Source organism: Homo sapiens, chromosome 1 (genome assembly GCF_000001405.40).
Source record: "Homo sapiens chromosome 1, GRCh38.p14 Primary Assembly".
Taxonomy (NCBI): domain Eukaryota; kingdom Metazoa; phylum Chordata; class Mammalia; order Primates; family Hominidae; genus Homo; species Homo sapiens.
The window spans coordinates 167,554,234-167,572,889 of NC_000001.11; the positions used below are offsets into that span (position 1 = coordinate 167,554,234).

Genomic DNA, 18,656 nt, shown 5'->3' on the forward strand with positions numbered 1-18,656 from the left:
GTACCCCATGTGTAGCTGATGCCAAACACTGACATATAGGTGCTTGGAGATAAAAGTTTATTCGATTTGGCCAAAGCGAGAAGGCGGGAGGGCAAGATCTCTCAAATCCGCCCTAACAAAAAGAAGAAGCAGAGAGTGTTTATGCGGCCAGCGAGTCAGGGAGGGGGAGTTTCAGGGAATCGAGGGAAAAAGTCTGTGTTTCTTCAGTCTCAGATAATTCCTTGAACAATCAGACTTCTGGGCGACAGAAGCTGGCCTCAAAGTACTTCAAAGGACTTATTCCTCCTGCAAACTTTTTCGTAACCCTGAAGTTATTATCTCCTCCTGCTTGATAAAGAAACAGTACATCAGCAGTTTATGATTATGTTGTAGGAACAAGGGATATTGGGCAAAAAGAGAGTTGTCAACATGTGCAAGCAAGGGCCTGATCAGAATTTTCATTATTTCAGTCACTAACAAATGCTGGGGTGCTGAAATCTCAAGGGGCCCACTTACACTAGTAGTAAAGTTAGGCAGAAGCCCGAAAGTTCAAGACCTTTAAAAAACTTTTTATTTACTTATTTTAAAATTTTTAATTTTTGTGGGTACATAGTAGGTGTATACATTTATGGGGTACATGAGATATTTTGCTACAGGCATACAATGCATAATAGTCATATCAGGGTAAATGGGGTATCCATTGCCTCAAGCATTTATCCTTTGTGTTACAAACAATCCAATTATACTTTTAGTTATTTTAAATGTACACTTAAATTATTATTGGCTATAGTCACCCTGTTGTGCTATGAAATACTAGGTCTTATTCTAACTATTTTTTGTACCCATTAACCATCCCCACTCCTCCCCTGCAAGTCCCCCCACTACCCTTCCTGGCCTCTGGTAACCATCCCTCTACTCTCTGTCTCCATGAGTTCAATTGTTTCCATTTAGGCTCCCACAAATAAGTGAGGATGTGTGAAGTTTGTCTTTCTGTGCCTGGCTTATTTCACTTCACGTAATAACCTCCAGTTCCAACTATGTTGTTGCAAAGACAGACAGGATCCCATTCATTTTTTATGGCTGAATAGTACTCCATTGTGTATATATACCACATTTTCTTTATCCATTCATCTGATGATGGACACTTAGGTTGCTTCCAAATCTTAGCTGTTGTGAATAGTGCTGCAGTAAACACAGGAGTGCAGACATCTCTCAATATACTGATTTTCTTTCTTTTAGGGATATACCTAGCTGTGGGATTGCTGGATCATATGGTACCTCTATTTTTAATTTTTTGAGGAACTCCAAATTTTTTTCCAAAGCGGTTATTCTAATTTACATTCCCACCAACAGTGTACAAGGGTTTCCTTTTCCCCACATCCTCACCAACATTTGTTATTGCCCGTCAAGACCTTTTAAACTACTGGCCCAGGAGTCCCTCATATAGACGCACAAAGGGATTGTTAGTCTACTATCAATATCCCATGTACAAATTTGAACTTACCAGTTCAGGACCTGTTAAGACATTAAGCTTGGGGTCGGCGGTTTCATGAATTTATTGCCCCCGCTGCCCTTCCCTGCTCCATGTAAGGGACATTCCTTTTGCTTCTTCTAAGATGGCCTGTCTCATTCTCTCACGGGTGCTCCTGATTCTGCTATTCTGGAAACTGGTCAATAAGCTCATAGCACCTGGCCTCCATTCTTTATGACTTTAAGCTTTGGTCACGTCTTTTTGGAGCAAGTCTTAATCTTTTTGGCCTGGCCTCAAATTTCCACTGTAATTGTTGTTATAAAGACTGTATGGTGGTGTTAGTGCAAGAGTTTGTCATCTTGTAAAGCTGGCTCTGGCAGACACCTGGCCCTGTGAGGCTGAGTTGTGTAACAGAGGTGAGGTAATTTCACTCAGCTGCTGTTGGCCAGTCATGTGAGCAGCCGTGGGCAACAGGTGTGTGAGCCAAAGTCCCACCGCTACTTCCCTTCTCAAAACCAGCCTCCTAATATTCAGCCAACTTCTCAGGCTACACAGTAGGAATTGTGTATCAGAAGAAGCAAGATCATCTACTCTGAACAGGAGACTTCAGTGCCCTCTGGTGGCCAAATGATGTCACACACCCTGATTTCGACATTGGGGTAAGAAGGATCCTTAATCAAAGTTGGTTTGCTTTATAACAACTGAATTTGGAAGAACTTCAAAATAGATGGAAAACTAAGTGGGAGAAATTCAAAAGGAGGAAAATTGGGTTCATCATTTTAAAAACAAATGATTAATACAAATAGTTTGAGTACCTGCCGGTTATAAACATTTCATCCCTTACCTGTTAAGGAAAGAATACTCTCACATTTGGAGTTCTAATCTCAGGTCTGCCACTATCGTGCCATGTGACCATGGGATTTTATCTTACCTTTGGGCCTCAATTTTCTCATCTAAAATGAGGAGTTGGATTAGATGATATTAATATCTGATGCCTCTTCCAGCCCTATATCTTCTTTTTCTTTGTGGTTGTTTGTTTTTCTTTTTCTCTTTTTTTTTTTTTGAAACAAGGTCTTGCTCTGTCATCCAGGCTACACTGCAGTGGTGGCTCACGAGCTGTGAGCCTCAAAATCCTGGGCTCAAGTGATCCTCCCTCAAGTGATCCTCCCACCTCAGACTCCCATGTAGCTGGGACTAAAGGTGTATGCCACCACACCTGGCTAATTTTTAATTTTTTGTAGAGATGGGGTCTCATATGCTGCCCAGGCTGGTCTTGAACTTCTGGCCTCAATTGGTCCTCCCACCTCATTCTCCCAAAGTGCTGGGATTATAGGCATGAGCCACTGTGCCTGGCCTTATTTTTCTATTAACATGCAAAGTATGAGCCTTTTGTAAGTTTCACAATGTGAATTTTTTTGCAAAAAGATGAAAAAAATTTATTTATTGCTACATCATTTATTGCTGGCATACAAAATAGCAATAGACCCTATTACAGCTCCATTACAAAACAGGTGCCTAGAGCTTGGTCTCAGGCATCAGAGCAGGAGAATGAGGTCTACAAACCCTCTGGCTTTAAGCACGCCACCTCAGTATCTATCTTTGTGTTTGCTGTTCCCTATGCTCAAAATGCTCTTCCCTCAGCTGCTGGCATGGCTACCTCACTCCCATTGGGACCTCCACTTAGATGTCACTCCTCAGCAGTGACTCCTAGAGCACTCTTTCCGAGAGGCCTTCCCCAGTTACTCTCCCTCAGCCAACTCTATTTCTTTCATAGCAATCATTAATTCATCACAACAAAAATAAATACTATAATAACAGTATTTATTTTTTTAGCTACGTGTTTATTGTCTCCACTGGTAGAACGCGAGCTCCGGGAGAGCAGGAATGTTGTCTATCCTGTCCGCCTTCGTATTCCCAATGCTCAGAGTGGGCACTACATAAATATTTATTGAAAGACTACCTGACAGTGAATAATATCTGGCAAAATTCTTTGCACATAGAGCTGTATAAAATGATTAAAAAGTGAGGATGAGTAAATCAGCATAAGCTAACAACCAGGCGCTCCAGCTTTTGTTTAGCAAATCCTCCTCATTGGGATATTAGGGGAAGCCCTTAGCCAGGAGTGGCTGAAATAATCATCCCAGATCCTGCTGCTTCTCATCCTGACTTTATGTTTTTATGTGAACAACCTACACTGGTCCCCATCCCCACAGGCCCACTGTGGAATAGTTATCTTTTCCTTATGTCTAGGTTTGATCCTTATGAAGAACCCACCCTGCAAACTCCTTCTTTTACATGGTGTTGCCCTTGCTTATTTGTCTAGGTCACCACCGGTTCCTTCTAGGTTAGAAGCAGTGGCTTTGTCCTTTCCGTCTCCCAGCACCGAGCACAGATCCAGGCATCTAGCAGGTACCCATTACATGTTATTGACAAAAGAATTGTATCAGAACAGTCACACCAAGGGCAGAGGGTTCTCAGGCTGTCTGCCATAGCTCAGGCTTTAGTCTTTAAAGAATAGAAAACTTCTCTTTTGTGGTATGCATGCTTCAAATAGTAGATAGCTAGTGAAACAGTGAAGAGAGTTAGCTCTGGAGTTAGCCACTTAAGCATGAGCTTACATAGGATGATACTGAACCACAATTTCCCTGTCATTAAAATCATAGCTCCTCCTTCACTGGATTTTTATGGGGATTAAATGAGAGAATGCATTTAAAATATCCATTATAGTGCCTGGAACAGAATAGATGCTCAGTAGTTGTTAGCTATGTGTTAGTAATTGTTAGCTTTTTTCTCACTATTTCTTTTTTTTTTTTTTGAGACGGAGCCTTGCTTTGTCACCCAGGCTGGAGTGCAGTGGTGCAATCTTGGCTCACTGCAACCTCCACCTCCTGGGTTCAAGTGATTCTCCTGCCTCAGCCTCCCAAGTAGCTGGGATTACAGGCATGCCACCACGCCCAGCTGATTTTTGTATTTTCAGTAGAGATGGGGTTTCACTATATTGGCCAGGCTGGTCTCGAACTCGAACTCAGGTGATCCGCCCGTCTCGGCCTCCTGAACTGCTGGGATTACAGGTGTGAGCCACCATACCAGGCCTTTTCCCACTATTTCTGTTCCCACTTTCTACTCTAAAAATCTGTAGATTGCTTCATTTAATTTCTCTATAGATTTTTCACACTTTTCACTGTGGCCTCTGCAGGAAAAAAAAAAAGCCTCTTGAAAAAAATAACTTTATAAAATGTCTTGAAAGTCCCCAGGCAGCTATTGAGGAAGTACTTTCATAGCCCACCCCAGCTTTGAGGGAGAAAATGCCGATGCCTATTATTTTTCATTAAGCAGATAGCCTTTCCCCATGGTTCTTCTCACATCCCTTCACTTTAGTCAAATGTTCCGAATTTAAAAGGTAGCAATGAAAACCTGCCCTTTTGCTGACTGCCTTGAGTTTTACATGTTTCTCTTTCATGCACGTTTACATTTGGATAACAATTATTTTCCAGACATTTGGGGAACAATTCTTGACTCCTTTCAATCTAGAGGACATGTTTTCCAAATGCCTAATAGTGCTTGCTACATAGAAAGACATGTTAATATGTATCTTTTGGATTGCATTTGTTTAATCAAAAACACATTAACTAAGCTTTAGAAGAGTAGTCATCCCAGTATTTCAATATATCTGTAAAATTTATTTTTTTAATTTTACTTTAAGTTCCGGGATACATATGCCGAATGTGCAGGTTTGTTACATAGGTATACATGGGCCATGGTGGTTTGCTGCACCTATCAACCTGCCATCTAGGTTTTAAGCTCCACATGCATTAGGTATTTGTTTTACGCTCTCCCTCCCCTTTACCCCCAACCCGCAACAGACTTTGGTGTGTGATGTTCCCCTCCCTGTGTCCATGTGTTCTCATTGTTCAACTCCTACTTACGAGTGATAACATGCAGTGTTTGGTTTTCTGTCCTGTGTTAGTTTGCTGAGAATGATGGCTTCCTGCTGCAAAGGACGTGAACTCATTCTTTTTTATGGCTACATATTATTCCATGGTGTATCAATATATCAGCAATATTAAACAGGAGAAGAAAGTTACCTGCGAGTCAGAAGAAAATAATTAGATTAGAATTTGCACTAAAATAAGGCCAGCCTTTCACATCATCATCATAGTAATTTTAAAAGCACAAATGAAAGAGTGCCTGTAACAAAATATCTGTCCTCTTTGCCTGCCAGATGCCCATAATTCCACTACTTATGCATTTGTACATTAGATGTATGCATTTAACAAGTATGCATTGAGTGCCAAACAAGCCCTGGGTGCTGTGATGGGTGATGAGAATTAAAATTATTAATAGACATTGTCCTTAATTTTAAGAAAAATTTCTGCTTAATTAATTCACAAATAAGCAAAGAGACAAAGTATAATTCGATGTCATTAGTGCAACGTGGAGGGCTATCCACAGGCAAAGGCGCCAGGGAAGAAGGAGCATAGGCCTGTCTCGAGGGAAGGTTCATATCAGAGGTAATTCTTGAGTTGAAACTTGAAGAACAAATAGAAGCGTGGCAGACAGTGAGAAGGTGGGACTAGAGAGAAGGAGAGGAAGAGTTTTACACAGAGGAAATAGTAGGTACAGAGGCAAGAAGACATGATGTGTCAGAAAAAGCCATTTTAAGTTGAAAAGAATGTGAAGAACCAATGCAGGCAGATGAGCATGTTCAGCTGGGTAGGGGAAATATATCATGCCAAGAAGAGATTTTGATTTTGGGAAGCCATAGAAAATTCATATGTTAGAAAGATCAATTCAGGCATGATGGCTCATGCCTGTAATCCCAGCACTGGGAGGCCAAGGCAGGTGTATCACTTGAGCTCAGGGGTTCAAGACCAGCCTAGACAAAATGGTGAAATCCCGTCTCTACCAAAAAATACAAAAAAAAATTAGCTGGGCATGGTGGTGCATGCCTGTAGTATCAGCTACTGGGGAGGCTGAGGTGGGAGGATCCCTTGAGCTCAGAAGGCGGAGGTTGCAGTGAGCCAAGATTGTACCACTGTACTCCAGCCTAGGTGACAGAGTTAGACCTTGTCTCAACAAAAAAGAAAAAGAAAGGAAGAAAGAAAGAAAAAGAAACAAAGAAAGAAAGAAAGAAAGAAAGACAGAAAAAGAGAAAGAAAGAGAAAGGAAGGAAGGAAGGAAGAAAGAAAGAAAGAAAGAAAGAAAGAAAGAAAGAAAGAAAGAAAGAAAAAGAAAGAAAGAAAGAAATATAATTTTATGAAGATATCTGTTCTCCCCAAGTTATCCTATTAATTCAGTGACTTCCAACCAAAATCTCCACAGAATTTTTTAAGGGAAACTGATGAACTCATTTTGGAATTTATTTGGAATTGTAATCCATGTGGGTAACTAAGATATTTTTGCAAAAGAAAAGCAGTAAGGGGGAAATTGCCCTATAAATATCAATCATACTGTAATCTCTCCAAGAAATGTGTATGTAACAGTATAACTTAAAGCTTTAAAGCATAATTTTAACAAACATATAACAATACCATTTATAGGATTTAGATTGATTTTTGCTACCTTACAGTGTCATGAAAAACAAATATATATGTGTTCATTGACAAAAGCTCATAGGTTAAAACACACTGTACATGACAGTAATTGAGGCAGCTGTAGGAACTATGGTAGGAATAGGCAAATTGTTACAGATTGGATTCCTCAGAAGCAGACACTGACAGAGTTTGGCCTGCAGAGCACAGATGGTCCCTGACTTAACAATACTTCGACTTAATGATTGCTTGACTTTAAGATGATGCAAAAGTGATGGGCATTCAGTAGAAACCATACTTTGATCACCCACACAACAATTCTGTTTTCACTTTCAGTACAGTATTCAATAAATTACATGAGATATTCAATCCTTTATTATAGTATTGGCTTTGTGTTAGATGGTTTTGCCCGACTGTAGACTAATGTAAGTGTTCTGAGCACGTTTAAGGTAGGCAAGTTTAAGTTAAATGCATTTTGACTTATAGTATTTCAAGCTTACGATGGTCTTGTTGGGACATAGCCCCCTCGTAAGTTGAGGAGCATCTGTACTTATTAAGGATCAATATCTGTGGGGGAAAAAAAGGGTGGCAGCAGGATTGGGCAGAGAGAGAAGCGAACCTGCAGTGCAGGCCTGACAAAGCCCCTCTTCCTAAGGAGTTCTGGAGTGTATATGGTCCATCGGAAGTGGGGCAATGGCATAATGACTCATGAGATGCAGATTAAAATCGCAATGTGATGTGACTACATACCCACCGGAATAGCTAAAATCCAAGTGTTGGTGAGAATGTGAAACAGTGGGGACTTTCACATACCGCTGGTGGAAATGTGAACTGCTGCAGCCAGGTTGGAAACTGATTGGCAGTATCTATTTTTTTTGAGATGGAGTCTCACTCTGTCACCAGGCTGGAGTGCAGTGGCGTGATCTCAGCTCACTGCAACCTCCGACTCCCTGGTTCAAGCAATTCTCCTGCCTCAGCCTCCCGAGTAGCTGGGATTACAGGCACACACCACCACATCCAGCTAATTTTTTATATTTTTAGTAGAGATGGGGTTTCACCATGTTGGCCAAGATGGTCTCAATCTCCTGACCTCATGATCCCCCCGCCTCAGCTTCCCAAAGTGCTGGGATTACAGGTATGAGCCACCGTGCCCGGCCAGCAGTGTCTATTAAACATATGGCCCAGAAATTCCACTCCCCAGTATATACCCAGCTGAAATACTTGTATATATTTTTTGTTTTGTTTTGTTTGTTTTTGAGACAGGGTCTCACTCTGGTTGCCCAGGCTGGAGCGCAGTGGCACGATCTCAGCTCACTGCAGCCTCGACTTCCCTGGCTCAGGTGATTCTTCCACCTCAGCCTCCCAGGTAGCTGGGACTACAGATGCACACCATCCTTCCTGGCTAATTTTCTGTATTTTTTGGTAGATACAAGGTTTCGCCATGTTGCCCAGGTGGTCTTGAACTCCTAGACTCAAGTGATCCACCCACCTTGGCCTCCCAAAGTGCTGGGATTACAGGCCTGAGCCACCATAGCCAGCCTGAAATACTGACATATGTTGACCAAAAGATGTGTACAAGAATGTTCATAGCAGCATTACTTGTAATAGCCCCCAAATGTCCATTGACAGTGGGATGGAAAATAAACTGTGGTTTATTCCCACAGTGGAATAGTTCAGCAATGAGTGCTGCTACATGAAGCAACATGGATGAATCACATAAAGATGATCTTGAGCAAGAGAAGCCAGCCACAAAACACATGTATGATTCTGCTTATATAAAATTCAAAAGTAGACAAATAATTCTAAGGTCTAAATATGAAAACAACAGTTCCTTTTGGGAGATAATGACTGGAAGAGAGCATGAGGGGAGCTTCGAGGCTGTTGGCAATGTTCGTTTCTGGAGCTGGGCAGTGCTTACAGAGGTGTGCTCACCTTATGAAACAATCATTGAGCTCTACACTTGATTTTTATACTTTTATGTGTCTATGTTTGTGTTGCTCCTTAACAAATTATCCCTAAACTTAGTGACTTAAATAATGAATATGTATTATTCCATTATTTCTTTGGGTCAGGAATTGAGGTGTGGGTTGACTAAGTAGTTCTGGCTTAAGGTCTGTCATGACAGTCGCAGTCAAGCTGTTGACAGGAGCCGCAGTCATCTCAGGGCTCCACTGGAGTCTTACAATTTTTTCATAATCTCAGAATGACATTCCGTCATTCAAGGAGAGGAGATTAACACAGGACATGATACCAGGGGGTGAGGAAGGCAAGCATATGGGATTGGTGCTGTTATACTACTCCAGTATTCAGAGAGGAGGGGGTAACAAAGAAGATGGAAGAACACCTACAACTTATATTTATCCTCCAGTCCAGCTTTATAACCTCCCCTGGTCTCATGCCTTAGTCTAGAAGTGGAACATGATGGATAGGGGAAGGAGGGGCTAAAAAAAACCTCAACAACATGAACTGAAAGTGCATATGTTGGCAGTAATGTTTGGCAATAGTGGAGGTCCAGTTTCGATGATGCCCGGTGGTTGTAGGCCAGTGCAGAGCTGCAGTATCCGGTGCAACAGTTCCCCATGAAAGTGGCTCATCTGAAGGCTGTGACAACAGAAGAAGGGCCCTGATGCAGCTGTGCAGGCAGAGGTGGCCCGAGCAGGCAAAGGAGGTTGAGCTCATAAGTGAGACGCCTCTGGTGATAGGAGCGACTTGGAGGAGAAGTAGAGGCCCCACCATCATGAGTGGAGACAAGGGTCATCAATATAAAGAGCTACTGTGAATGTGACTCACTTTGTCTCCCAGGCAAACAGAAGCCACTTAAAGCTTTCATTGAAAGGAAGGAGAAATCATCAGCTAGATAGATAGTGACTATGCTGGAGGTGAGTGAGAAGTTGGCTTTGGTCCAGGTCTCAACTGGGCAGCTGCTGGACTGAATCCAGACTGGCTGGCCCTTACATTCTCCTTGTTGCTTGTCTACAACCTCCGAGAGTCTTGAGCTGGGTGTGAAAGTCTCCTTCTACCTAAAATGTGGATGTGTGATGCAGGGAGGCGTCAGGAGATAGGGAATGCTGGGGCTGTTTTTCCTAAAAGCAAGAAGGAAAATGAAAGCTTAATAATGACAGGTAAGGTTGAATTGTCACGATAATATGTGGCTTGTATATTGGGAGCTTATGCCATTTACTTCTTGTTCCACATGCATCATTCCTTAAACAAGTGTTTGCTAAATATTTAATGTGCATTTATATTTAATGGAAGGGGTTTTTTGTACAGTAGAAAAAGTCACACAACATCATATGCATTAAGACTGATAGTCACAGGTTTTTACATGTGGGGATGGCTTAATTTTGGAGGTGGTGACCCAAGGCACTGTTAGTGACCTAGATGACCACTAGAATACCAGATACAGTCACAAGAATGAATTCAGAGCCCTTTAAAAGCTATGCCTAGCAAATTCCATGAAGGGTGTGTGAAAAATAAAAGACCAGAAGGCACTATAGAAAACAATTCTCCTGCTCCTCAAGCAATGATAAACGAGATTGCATCATGTCTTTGCTTAAACCCTCCAGTGGCTACTCCTTACACTTACTAGCTACACTGCTTGGCATGGCCTGCAGGGTCTGACCTGGTAGAGCGGGCCTCTGCATACCTCTCCAACCACACCTCCTGTTCTCAGTCCCCAGCTCCAGCCACATGCCTCTCCTGGCTGCTCCCCAAACATCTCCAATCCCTTCTGCCTCAGGGGCTTTACACTTGTTCCTCTTTCTGCTAAGAACTTTCTTCTCTGAGCTCTTCATGAGCCAGCTTCTTTCCAAACCCCTTCTCAACTGTTGAAGATAATTTCATAGAGACCTTCCCTGACTTACCCCATCCAAAATACCCACTTCCAGACACTCCCAGCTCCATTACCCAGTTTTGTTTTTTTCCTAGCACCCACCACGATTAATCATTATATTACTTAGTTATTTGTCCACCGTCTTCACTAGGATGGAAACTCCATGGGAGGAGAAACTTGTCTGTTTTGTTCAGCTCGGAATCCCCTGGGCATAGAACAGTGCCTGGGCCACACAGGTGCACAGGCACTGATTGTTAAATGAATTAATATGTGGATGATTAAATTATGAGCCATGTTTTAAATCGGGGTGTCCACTTTTTTGGCTTCCCTAGGCTGCATTGGAAGAAAAATTGTCTTGGGCCGCTTGTAAAATACACTAATACTAATGATAGCTGATGAGCTAAAAAAAAAAATCGCAAAAAATTCTCATAATGTTTTAAGAAAGTTTACGAATTTGTGTTGGGCTGCATGCAGCCCACAGGCCACAGGTTGCACAAGCTTGTTTTAAATGTTTTTAGCTATGTTTCCTTCCATAGTTTCTATAACTTGAAGTACAATTTAAGATGATATCACTCTACATTCTTTTACTTCTATCAAAAGAATATATTCTTTCTATCTATGTGCCCCAGTAAGAAGCCCAAGAATTCTGGGCTGCTCTTCAAGCCATGGGGTCAGTTACGATTGCCTTGTACAAAAATAAATCATTTGATAACTGGGAAACTGGAGTCTTCTGCAGAGAGGCTGCATTCAGAGCCTGTATGTGGAGCTGTTGAGGATGCACAGGATCTCTTCCAGAAACAGGCAGCCTAGAGCCAGATGCAGGTATGGCTGGAAACTTGCCATTGCAAAGTTTTTCAGGGTGCAGGGATGAGAGGATACCCTCTCCCATGGTGTTGTCCTAAGCTGTGGTCCCTCTGTGCACCTGTGAGTCTGAACCCCAATGTGACAGCTCCTTGGTTACATAAAACTCTCAGCATAATCACCATGGCAAATATTTATCAAGCTCTGTGTGCCCAGTACTATTCCAAATACTTTCATGTACTATCTCACTTCATTTTCACATCAACTCTACGACATAATACCACAGGTCCTCAATTTCACATCCTCATTTCCAAAATTCAAAAAGCTCTGAAAACAGTCATTTGCCAGCACACCTTCCCTCGGTGAGACTCTTCATGTTTTTTATCCATCCTGTGCTCCGCAGGTGTTCCTATGTTTCACTGCAGAACTATGAATGTTGTGGAGGAAAAGCAACCGGAACACCATGACCGTAGACTTTAATCCAGACTGCCAGGCAGAAGCAGTCCCTGAAAGGAGTGTTCTCAAATACCTTGGGGGAGGAGGGAGGGTTTTTGGGTTTGTTGTTTGTTGTTGTTGTTTTTATTGCTGTTATAGGGCCTTAGCAGGGGGGTCAGCCTTAATTCAGGAAGTTCAGGAATAGTAGGTGAGGGATGGATTTTAGAAGAGAGAGGAATTCTTGCACATCAGCCACCATTGTTCAGGCAATTTGGATTTCATTAAGAGGGATGAGGAGGAGCAGTTAGGGGCTAAGGTCACGTGTTAGAGTGGGTGGAAGAACAGCTGTGGAGGACGAGGACATGCCACAGCCTCAGTGGAAACTTCTTGGTCCTTCGGTGTCTCTCAGTGTATTCGATTGCAGGTACTGCTCCAGACACCACTTTCTCTATTCTAGGAAGTTTCCCAGGCTGCCTCAAGAAATGTGAAATTCTTTTCTTTTCTGTGTAGTACATAAAATAGATACTTCTGGGCAGCTTCTTACCTTTCTCAGATCTGAAAATCCTGAATTCTGAGACACGTTTGGCCCAAGGGTCTTGGGTAAGGGATTACGAGCTCTTTTTCTCAGCCCCATCTTACAGCTGAGGAAACTGAAGCCCCTGGGGGTTACAGACCTTGCTCAAGATCTAGCATTTAGTGAGTAGACTAACAGACATCCTGTTTTCCACAAGTCACTCCCAGGTGCCAGAGAGGCTGGGTCAGAAGGAATGCATAGCCCCAGGTAGGTGCTGTGCCCAGAGGTGCCCTCCTCACGACCACAGCATCCTGTCCTGGGTGGGAGGTAGAGTCACTGCCCCTCTCCAGACAGAGGTCAAGGATGAGTAAAAATTCGCCCTGATGTTGCCATGTTTCCTGCTTCTCCAAGAGTTGGTGAAAGAGCCTGTGGTTGTTTTTCTCTCCACTTTATTTCCTTCCTGATAGACTTTCTTGGCCATTCACAATAATTTGTTTTTATTTTTTCCTTAAGGATGACATAGAATGTTTTTAAAAGCCTGACCCCTTATTGAAAGTAAAAAGAAAAATGCCTAAAGAGGGTAACATGCTCTGGCCAGGCCTTCAAGATCTGACAGGAAGACAAGGGCAGCCCCTTCCCACTGCAGGGCTTCTCTGGCCATGCAGCCATGAGGTCAACTCCCACTAATAAGCACTTTAACCCTCAATAAGCGCTCTCAATACTTCATGGGTAAAGATGGGCAAATGTTTTTAAAAGCAGACATGTTACAGAAATTTTTAGTAGGCCCCACCTCCAAAAAGCAAACAAAAAAAAAAACACTGCAGGAAGGGCTCCATAAAATGTTTATTTCACTGCAACCTCTTCGCAGAGCCTAGTTTTGTTCTACAAACAACGCAAACCACCTACATTCTTCACACATAAGCTTATTATGACCCTAAGTTTCATGTGGATTTCAAAAATGTGATTTTCTCTTTGGGAGGAGGCAGGTAGAGGTAAATTAACCTCCTTTCTTATTGCTGGCTTAGCTGCCCTGGAGGGCTGTGGGTTACGGAGTGACTTCATCAGGAGAACAGAGGGATGCTCGGGAAGAAAGGCTGGAGCAGCTCCTGTCTCAGCCGCACAGGGAAATGGATGCCTGACTTGCTGTATTATAATAGCAACGTCTCTGCAGGGAACTCATTTCAATACTTTATATACTGAACTTGCTTAATAAGAGGCTAGCATTTCTCAAAGAAATCAGTTTCAACTATGATTTTTTAAATGCTAACCAACTACAAAGTAACCCACAAATATCGGAGGGCTATACTAGTTATTTAAAACTTAGCAGCCTAGAGAGCCCCGTTTCCTTTAGTTTAGTTGTGTCACTTTTTCCTTTAACATTTAAATGGAAATATTTCATATGCTGGGCTTGGAAACTCAGCATTTCCCCACAGAATAACTGAGGATTCCCAGGGGTATATGCTGTTCACAATAGTTTTCTGCAAGATTTTTTATCTTGCTGGAAGCTTTCTCTGCTTCTTGTCCTGAATTAACCCAACAAACACTACTTTGCCTTAATTTCCCTGCAACAAACACTGCTCACCCAAAGCATAGCAGGTTTTTGTTGAAGATTTAGGGGAGGCGTTACATTGCCATGTACCACGGCAGATTATTTAAAATTGAATGTTTCAGTCTCTATTCTAGAAAGCTTCCCAGGCTGCCTTAAGAAACTTGAAATTCTTTTCCCTTTAATATGTACAATAATTTTGCTCAATGTCTTCTCTTAGCACAGCCAACGAGGCATGGCAGTATTTTTCCACAATAAAATGGCTTTCTGAGCATTTTGTTAAATGAAATATATTTCTTCTTTTAAATAAATTCTAGGGCCCATTTTAAAACTCCCTCTTTCACATTTACAAAATTTCAAAGGGAAACTTTAAGTAGTTACTCAGTATATGCTGATCAAATAAATTTCAAGCATACTGCTTAAATTCATCTTATTCCTCCATAGAAAGGGAGGAAAGCCTGGGGACAGTGGCTCACGCCTGTAATCCCAGCACTTTGGGAGGCCAAGGTAGGTGGGTCACTTGAGCCCGGGAGTTTGAGACCAGCCTGGGCAACAAGGAGAAACCCCATCTCTACAACAAATACAAAAAAAAAAAAAATTAGCTGGACATGGTGGCACACACCTGTAGTCCCAGTTACTAGGGAGACTGAGGTGGGAGGATCACTTGAGCCCAGAAGATCAAGGCTGCAGGGAGCTGTGAGCATGCCACTGCTCTCCAGCCTGGGTGACAGTATGAGACTGTTTCAAAAAAAAAAAAAAAAGGGTGTGTGTGTGTGTGTGTGTGTGTGTGTGTGTGTGTGTATAACATTTGTGTTTGTGTGTGTGGGAGGAACATCTGAGTGGGCATTTTGTGCCAAAGGTAATCATGTGTGCTATCTGTGGTAGGCATTATACTGTCCACCCAATATTTCTGGCTCTCTGCCTTCTGGGCACAAGGGGGGCCAACTTAGGGTTAGTGGGGCCATATGACTAGTTCTGGCCACTGAGATCTAAATGGAAATGACATGTATCACTTCCATTCAGACCCTCCAGAAGGCTCTTTCCCTTACCCTAGGTTGCTGTGTTCCAGATTGTGGGTGCTCTGTCCACTTGTATCTTGGATCAGTGTAGAGTAGATCCCTCTCCCACCAAAGCTGGTCTGCAGGGACCACAGTAAACACGTATTATGAGTGGGAAATAAACAATAAACCTGTTATTTGAAGTCACTGAGATTTAAGGACTATTCGTTACCATAGTATAGCCTAGCCTACTTTGATATACTATCTAATTGTAATTCTTGCAATCACCCTCTGAAACAGGTATTATTATCTCCATGTTATTGATGTGATTTTCTCAGGCCACAGAGCAAATACATGGTGGAGACTATTTTCAAATCCACCTCCATCTGACCCAGTGCCTGTGCTCACTACGCTGAATTTATACTTACATTTATGAACTTTACTTTTTGATGAATATTCTTACAAACAGGTTCATAGCTTTTTTGAATTTCCAATTTTGCTGAATTGGAACTTCCAGTTTTGAAATTCCAATCCAATTCCAGTGATCCCAATAAAACAGCACCATAGAATTTTTACTCAGTGTAATTTCATGTGATCCCCACAACACTCCTGTTATGTCAGGCACATTCTTTTTTATTTGTTTGTTTTGGTTTTAATTGTTTATTTTACTTTAAGTTCCAGGATACATGTACAAAACATGCAGGTTTGTTACATAGGTATACATGTGCCATGATGGTTTGCTGCACCCATCAACCCGTTATCTAGGTTTTAAGCCCTGCGTGCATTATGTATTCGTCCTAATGCCCTCCCTCACCTTGCCCCCCATCCCCCCACAGGACCCAGTGTGTGATGTTCCCCTCTCTATGTCCATATGTTCTCACTGTTCAACTCCCACTTTGAGTGATAACATGCGGTGTTTGGTTTTCTGTTCCTGTGTTAGTTTGCTGAGAATGATGGCTTCATCTATGTCCCTGCAAAGGACATGATCTCATTCTTTTTTATAGCTGCATAGTATTCCATGATGTATATGTGCCACATTTTCTTTATTGAGTCCCTCATTGATGGGCATTTGGCTTGGTTCCAAGTCTTTGCTGTTGTAAAAAGTGCTGCAATAAACATACGTGTGCATGTGTCTTTATAGTAGAATGATTTATAATTCTTTGGGTATATACCCAGTAATGGGAATGCTGGGTCAAATGGTATTTCTGGTTCTAGATCCTTGTAGCTTTTTTTTTTTATTTTGTATTTTACTTTAAGTTCTGGGATACATGTGCTGAACGTGCAGGTTTGTTACATAGGTGTACATGTGCCACGGTGGTTTGCTGCACCTATCACTCGTCATCTAGGTTTTAAGCTCTGCATGCATTAGGTATTTGTCCTAATGCTCTCCCTCCCCTTGCCTCCCATCCCCCGACAGGCCCCAGTGTGTGTTGTTCCCCTCCCTGTGTCCATGTGTTCCCATTGTTTAGCTCTCACTTATGAGGAAGAACATGCAGTGTTTGGTTTTCTGTTCCTGTGTTAGTTTGCTGAGGATGATGGTTTCCAGCTTCATCGATGTCCCGGCAAAGAACATGAACTCATTCTTTTTTATGGCTGCATAGTATTCCATGGTGTATATGTGCCACATTTTCTTTATACAGTCTATCATTGATGGGCATTTGGGTTGGTTCCAAGTCTTTGCTATCGTAAAAAGTGCTGCAATAAACATACGTTTGCACGTGTCTTTACAACAGAATGATTTATAGTCCTTTGGGTATATACCCCAGTCATGGGATTGCTGGGTCAAATGGTATTTCTGGTTCTATATCCTTGAGGAATCACCATGCTGTCTTCCACAATGGTTGAACTAATTTACACTCCCACCAACAGTGTAAAAGTGTTCCTATTTCTCTGCACCCTCTGATTGCTGCCTGCTACTTCCTCTGGAATCTTTGTCCCAGAGGGCCACTGGCCTGATGCCTGCTGGAGCTCTCCTGTATAAGGTGTCTGTCAACCCCTGTTGGGATGTCTCTCCCAGTCAGGAGTCACGGGGATCAGGGACCCTCTTGAGGTGGCAGCCTGCCTCTTAGCAGAGCTCAAGCTCTACTGCGCTGGTAGAACCCTCTTTGTCAGGATCCGCTGCTCTTTTCAGAGCTGGCAGGCAGAAACATTTAAATCTGCTGAAGCTACGCCCACAGCCGCCCCTTCCTCCAGATGCTCTGTCCCAGTGAGATGGGAGTTTTATCTATAAGCCCCTGACTAGGGCTGCTGCCTTTTTTTCAGAGATGCCCTGCCCAGGCAAGAGGAATCTAGGGAGGCAGTCTGGCCACAGCCAATTTGCCGCTCTGTGTTGAGTTCTGCCCGTTCCAAACCTCCAGGCTTTTTTAGCACGGTCAGGGGAAAACCGCCTACTCAAGCCTCAGTAATGGCTGATGCCTTCCCCCCACCAAGCTCAATCATCCCAGATTGGCTTCAGACTGCTGTGCTGACAGCGAGAATTTCAAGCCAGTAGTTCTTAGCTTGCTGGACTGCGTGGGAGTGGGAACTGCTGAGCGAGACCACTTGGATCCCCGGTTTCAGCCCCTTTTCCAGGGGAGTGAATGGTTCTGTCTCACTGGGGTTCCAGGCGCCACTGGGGTATGAAAAGAAAAACTCCTGCAGCTAGCTCAGTGTCTGCCCAAACAGCCACCCAGTTTTGTCCTTGAAACCCAGGGCCCTGGTGGTGTAGGCACCTGAGGGAATCTCCTGGTCTGTGGGTTGCAAAAACTGTGGGAGAAGCATAGTATCTGGGCCAGATAGCACAGTCCCTTATGGCTTCCCTTGGCTGGGAAGAAGAGGCTCTCCCACTCCTTGCACTTCTTGGGTGAGGTGACACCCCACCCTGCTTCTGCTCACCCTCCGTGGGCTGCACCCACTGCCTAACCAGTCCCAGTGAGATGAACAGGGTACCTCAGTTGGAAATGCAGAAATCACCCGCCTTCTGTGCTGGTCTTGCTGGGAGCTGCAGACCGGAGCTGTTCCATTCGGCCATCTTGCCAGCAGCCTCTGGCAGATTCCTAGTAGCCTCATTTTACAGACAATCCAAATAAAGTCCAGAGCCATTAACAGACATACCCTAAGTGAGATTCATAATGTGTGACAGAGCTAGGTCTTAAACCTAAGTTTTCTGACTTCAAGTTCAGGGCACTTTCTATGTCCAGGGTGTCTTTCAAATAAACTATATTTTCTTCAATGAGTACCATTCGGCTCATGCTATATACACACAGTTGGTAGAGCATGAAACGATTTCATACATTCCTTCAGTCTTTCAACAAATACAATTTAATAGCTCCTATGTGTCAAGTATGCTTCTTAAGCCAAATCTGTTGATACATTCTGGAGGAAGTAGATTTGAAGAAAAAAGTACAAGTGGTTTCCAGACAGAAGTTTGAAGGTAGGTGCAGAGGCAGCCGTGTGCTGGAGCCAGCATGTACCAGCTCTAAGTAGCCGATTCCACATGTAGCTTCCTATCTCCAAGTTCAGTTACCTTACAGTGGCTTGAAATTGGCCATGTTGACAGCATTTACACCA

General features: G+C 42.9%; 1 annotated feature.

The window, feature by feature from the left end:
• Positions 9,856 to 11,055: an enhancer, noted in NCBI's record as "BRD4-independent group 4 enhancer chr1:167533326-167534525 (GRCh37/hg19 assembly coordinates)". NCBI's record gives its function as "activates an origin of replication core promoter dependent on BRD2, P300/CBP, MED14 and CDK7 cofactors, and independent of BRD4, by STARR-seq in HCT116 cells {active_cell/tissue: HCT116}" and the evidence as "EXISTENCE:reporter gene assay evidence [ECO:0000049][PMID:35650434]".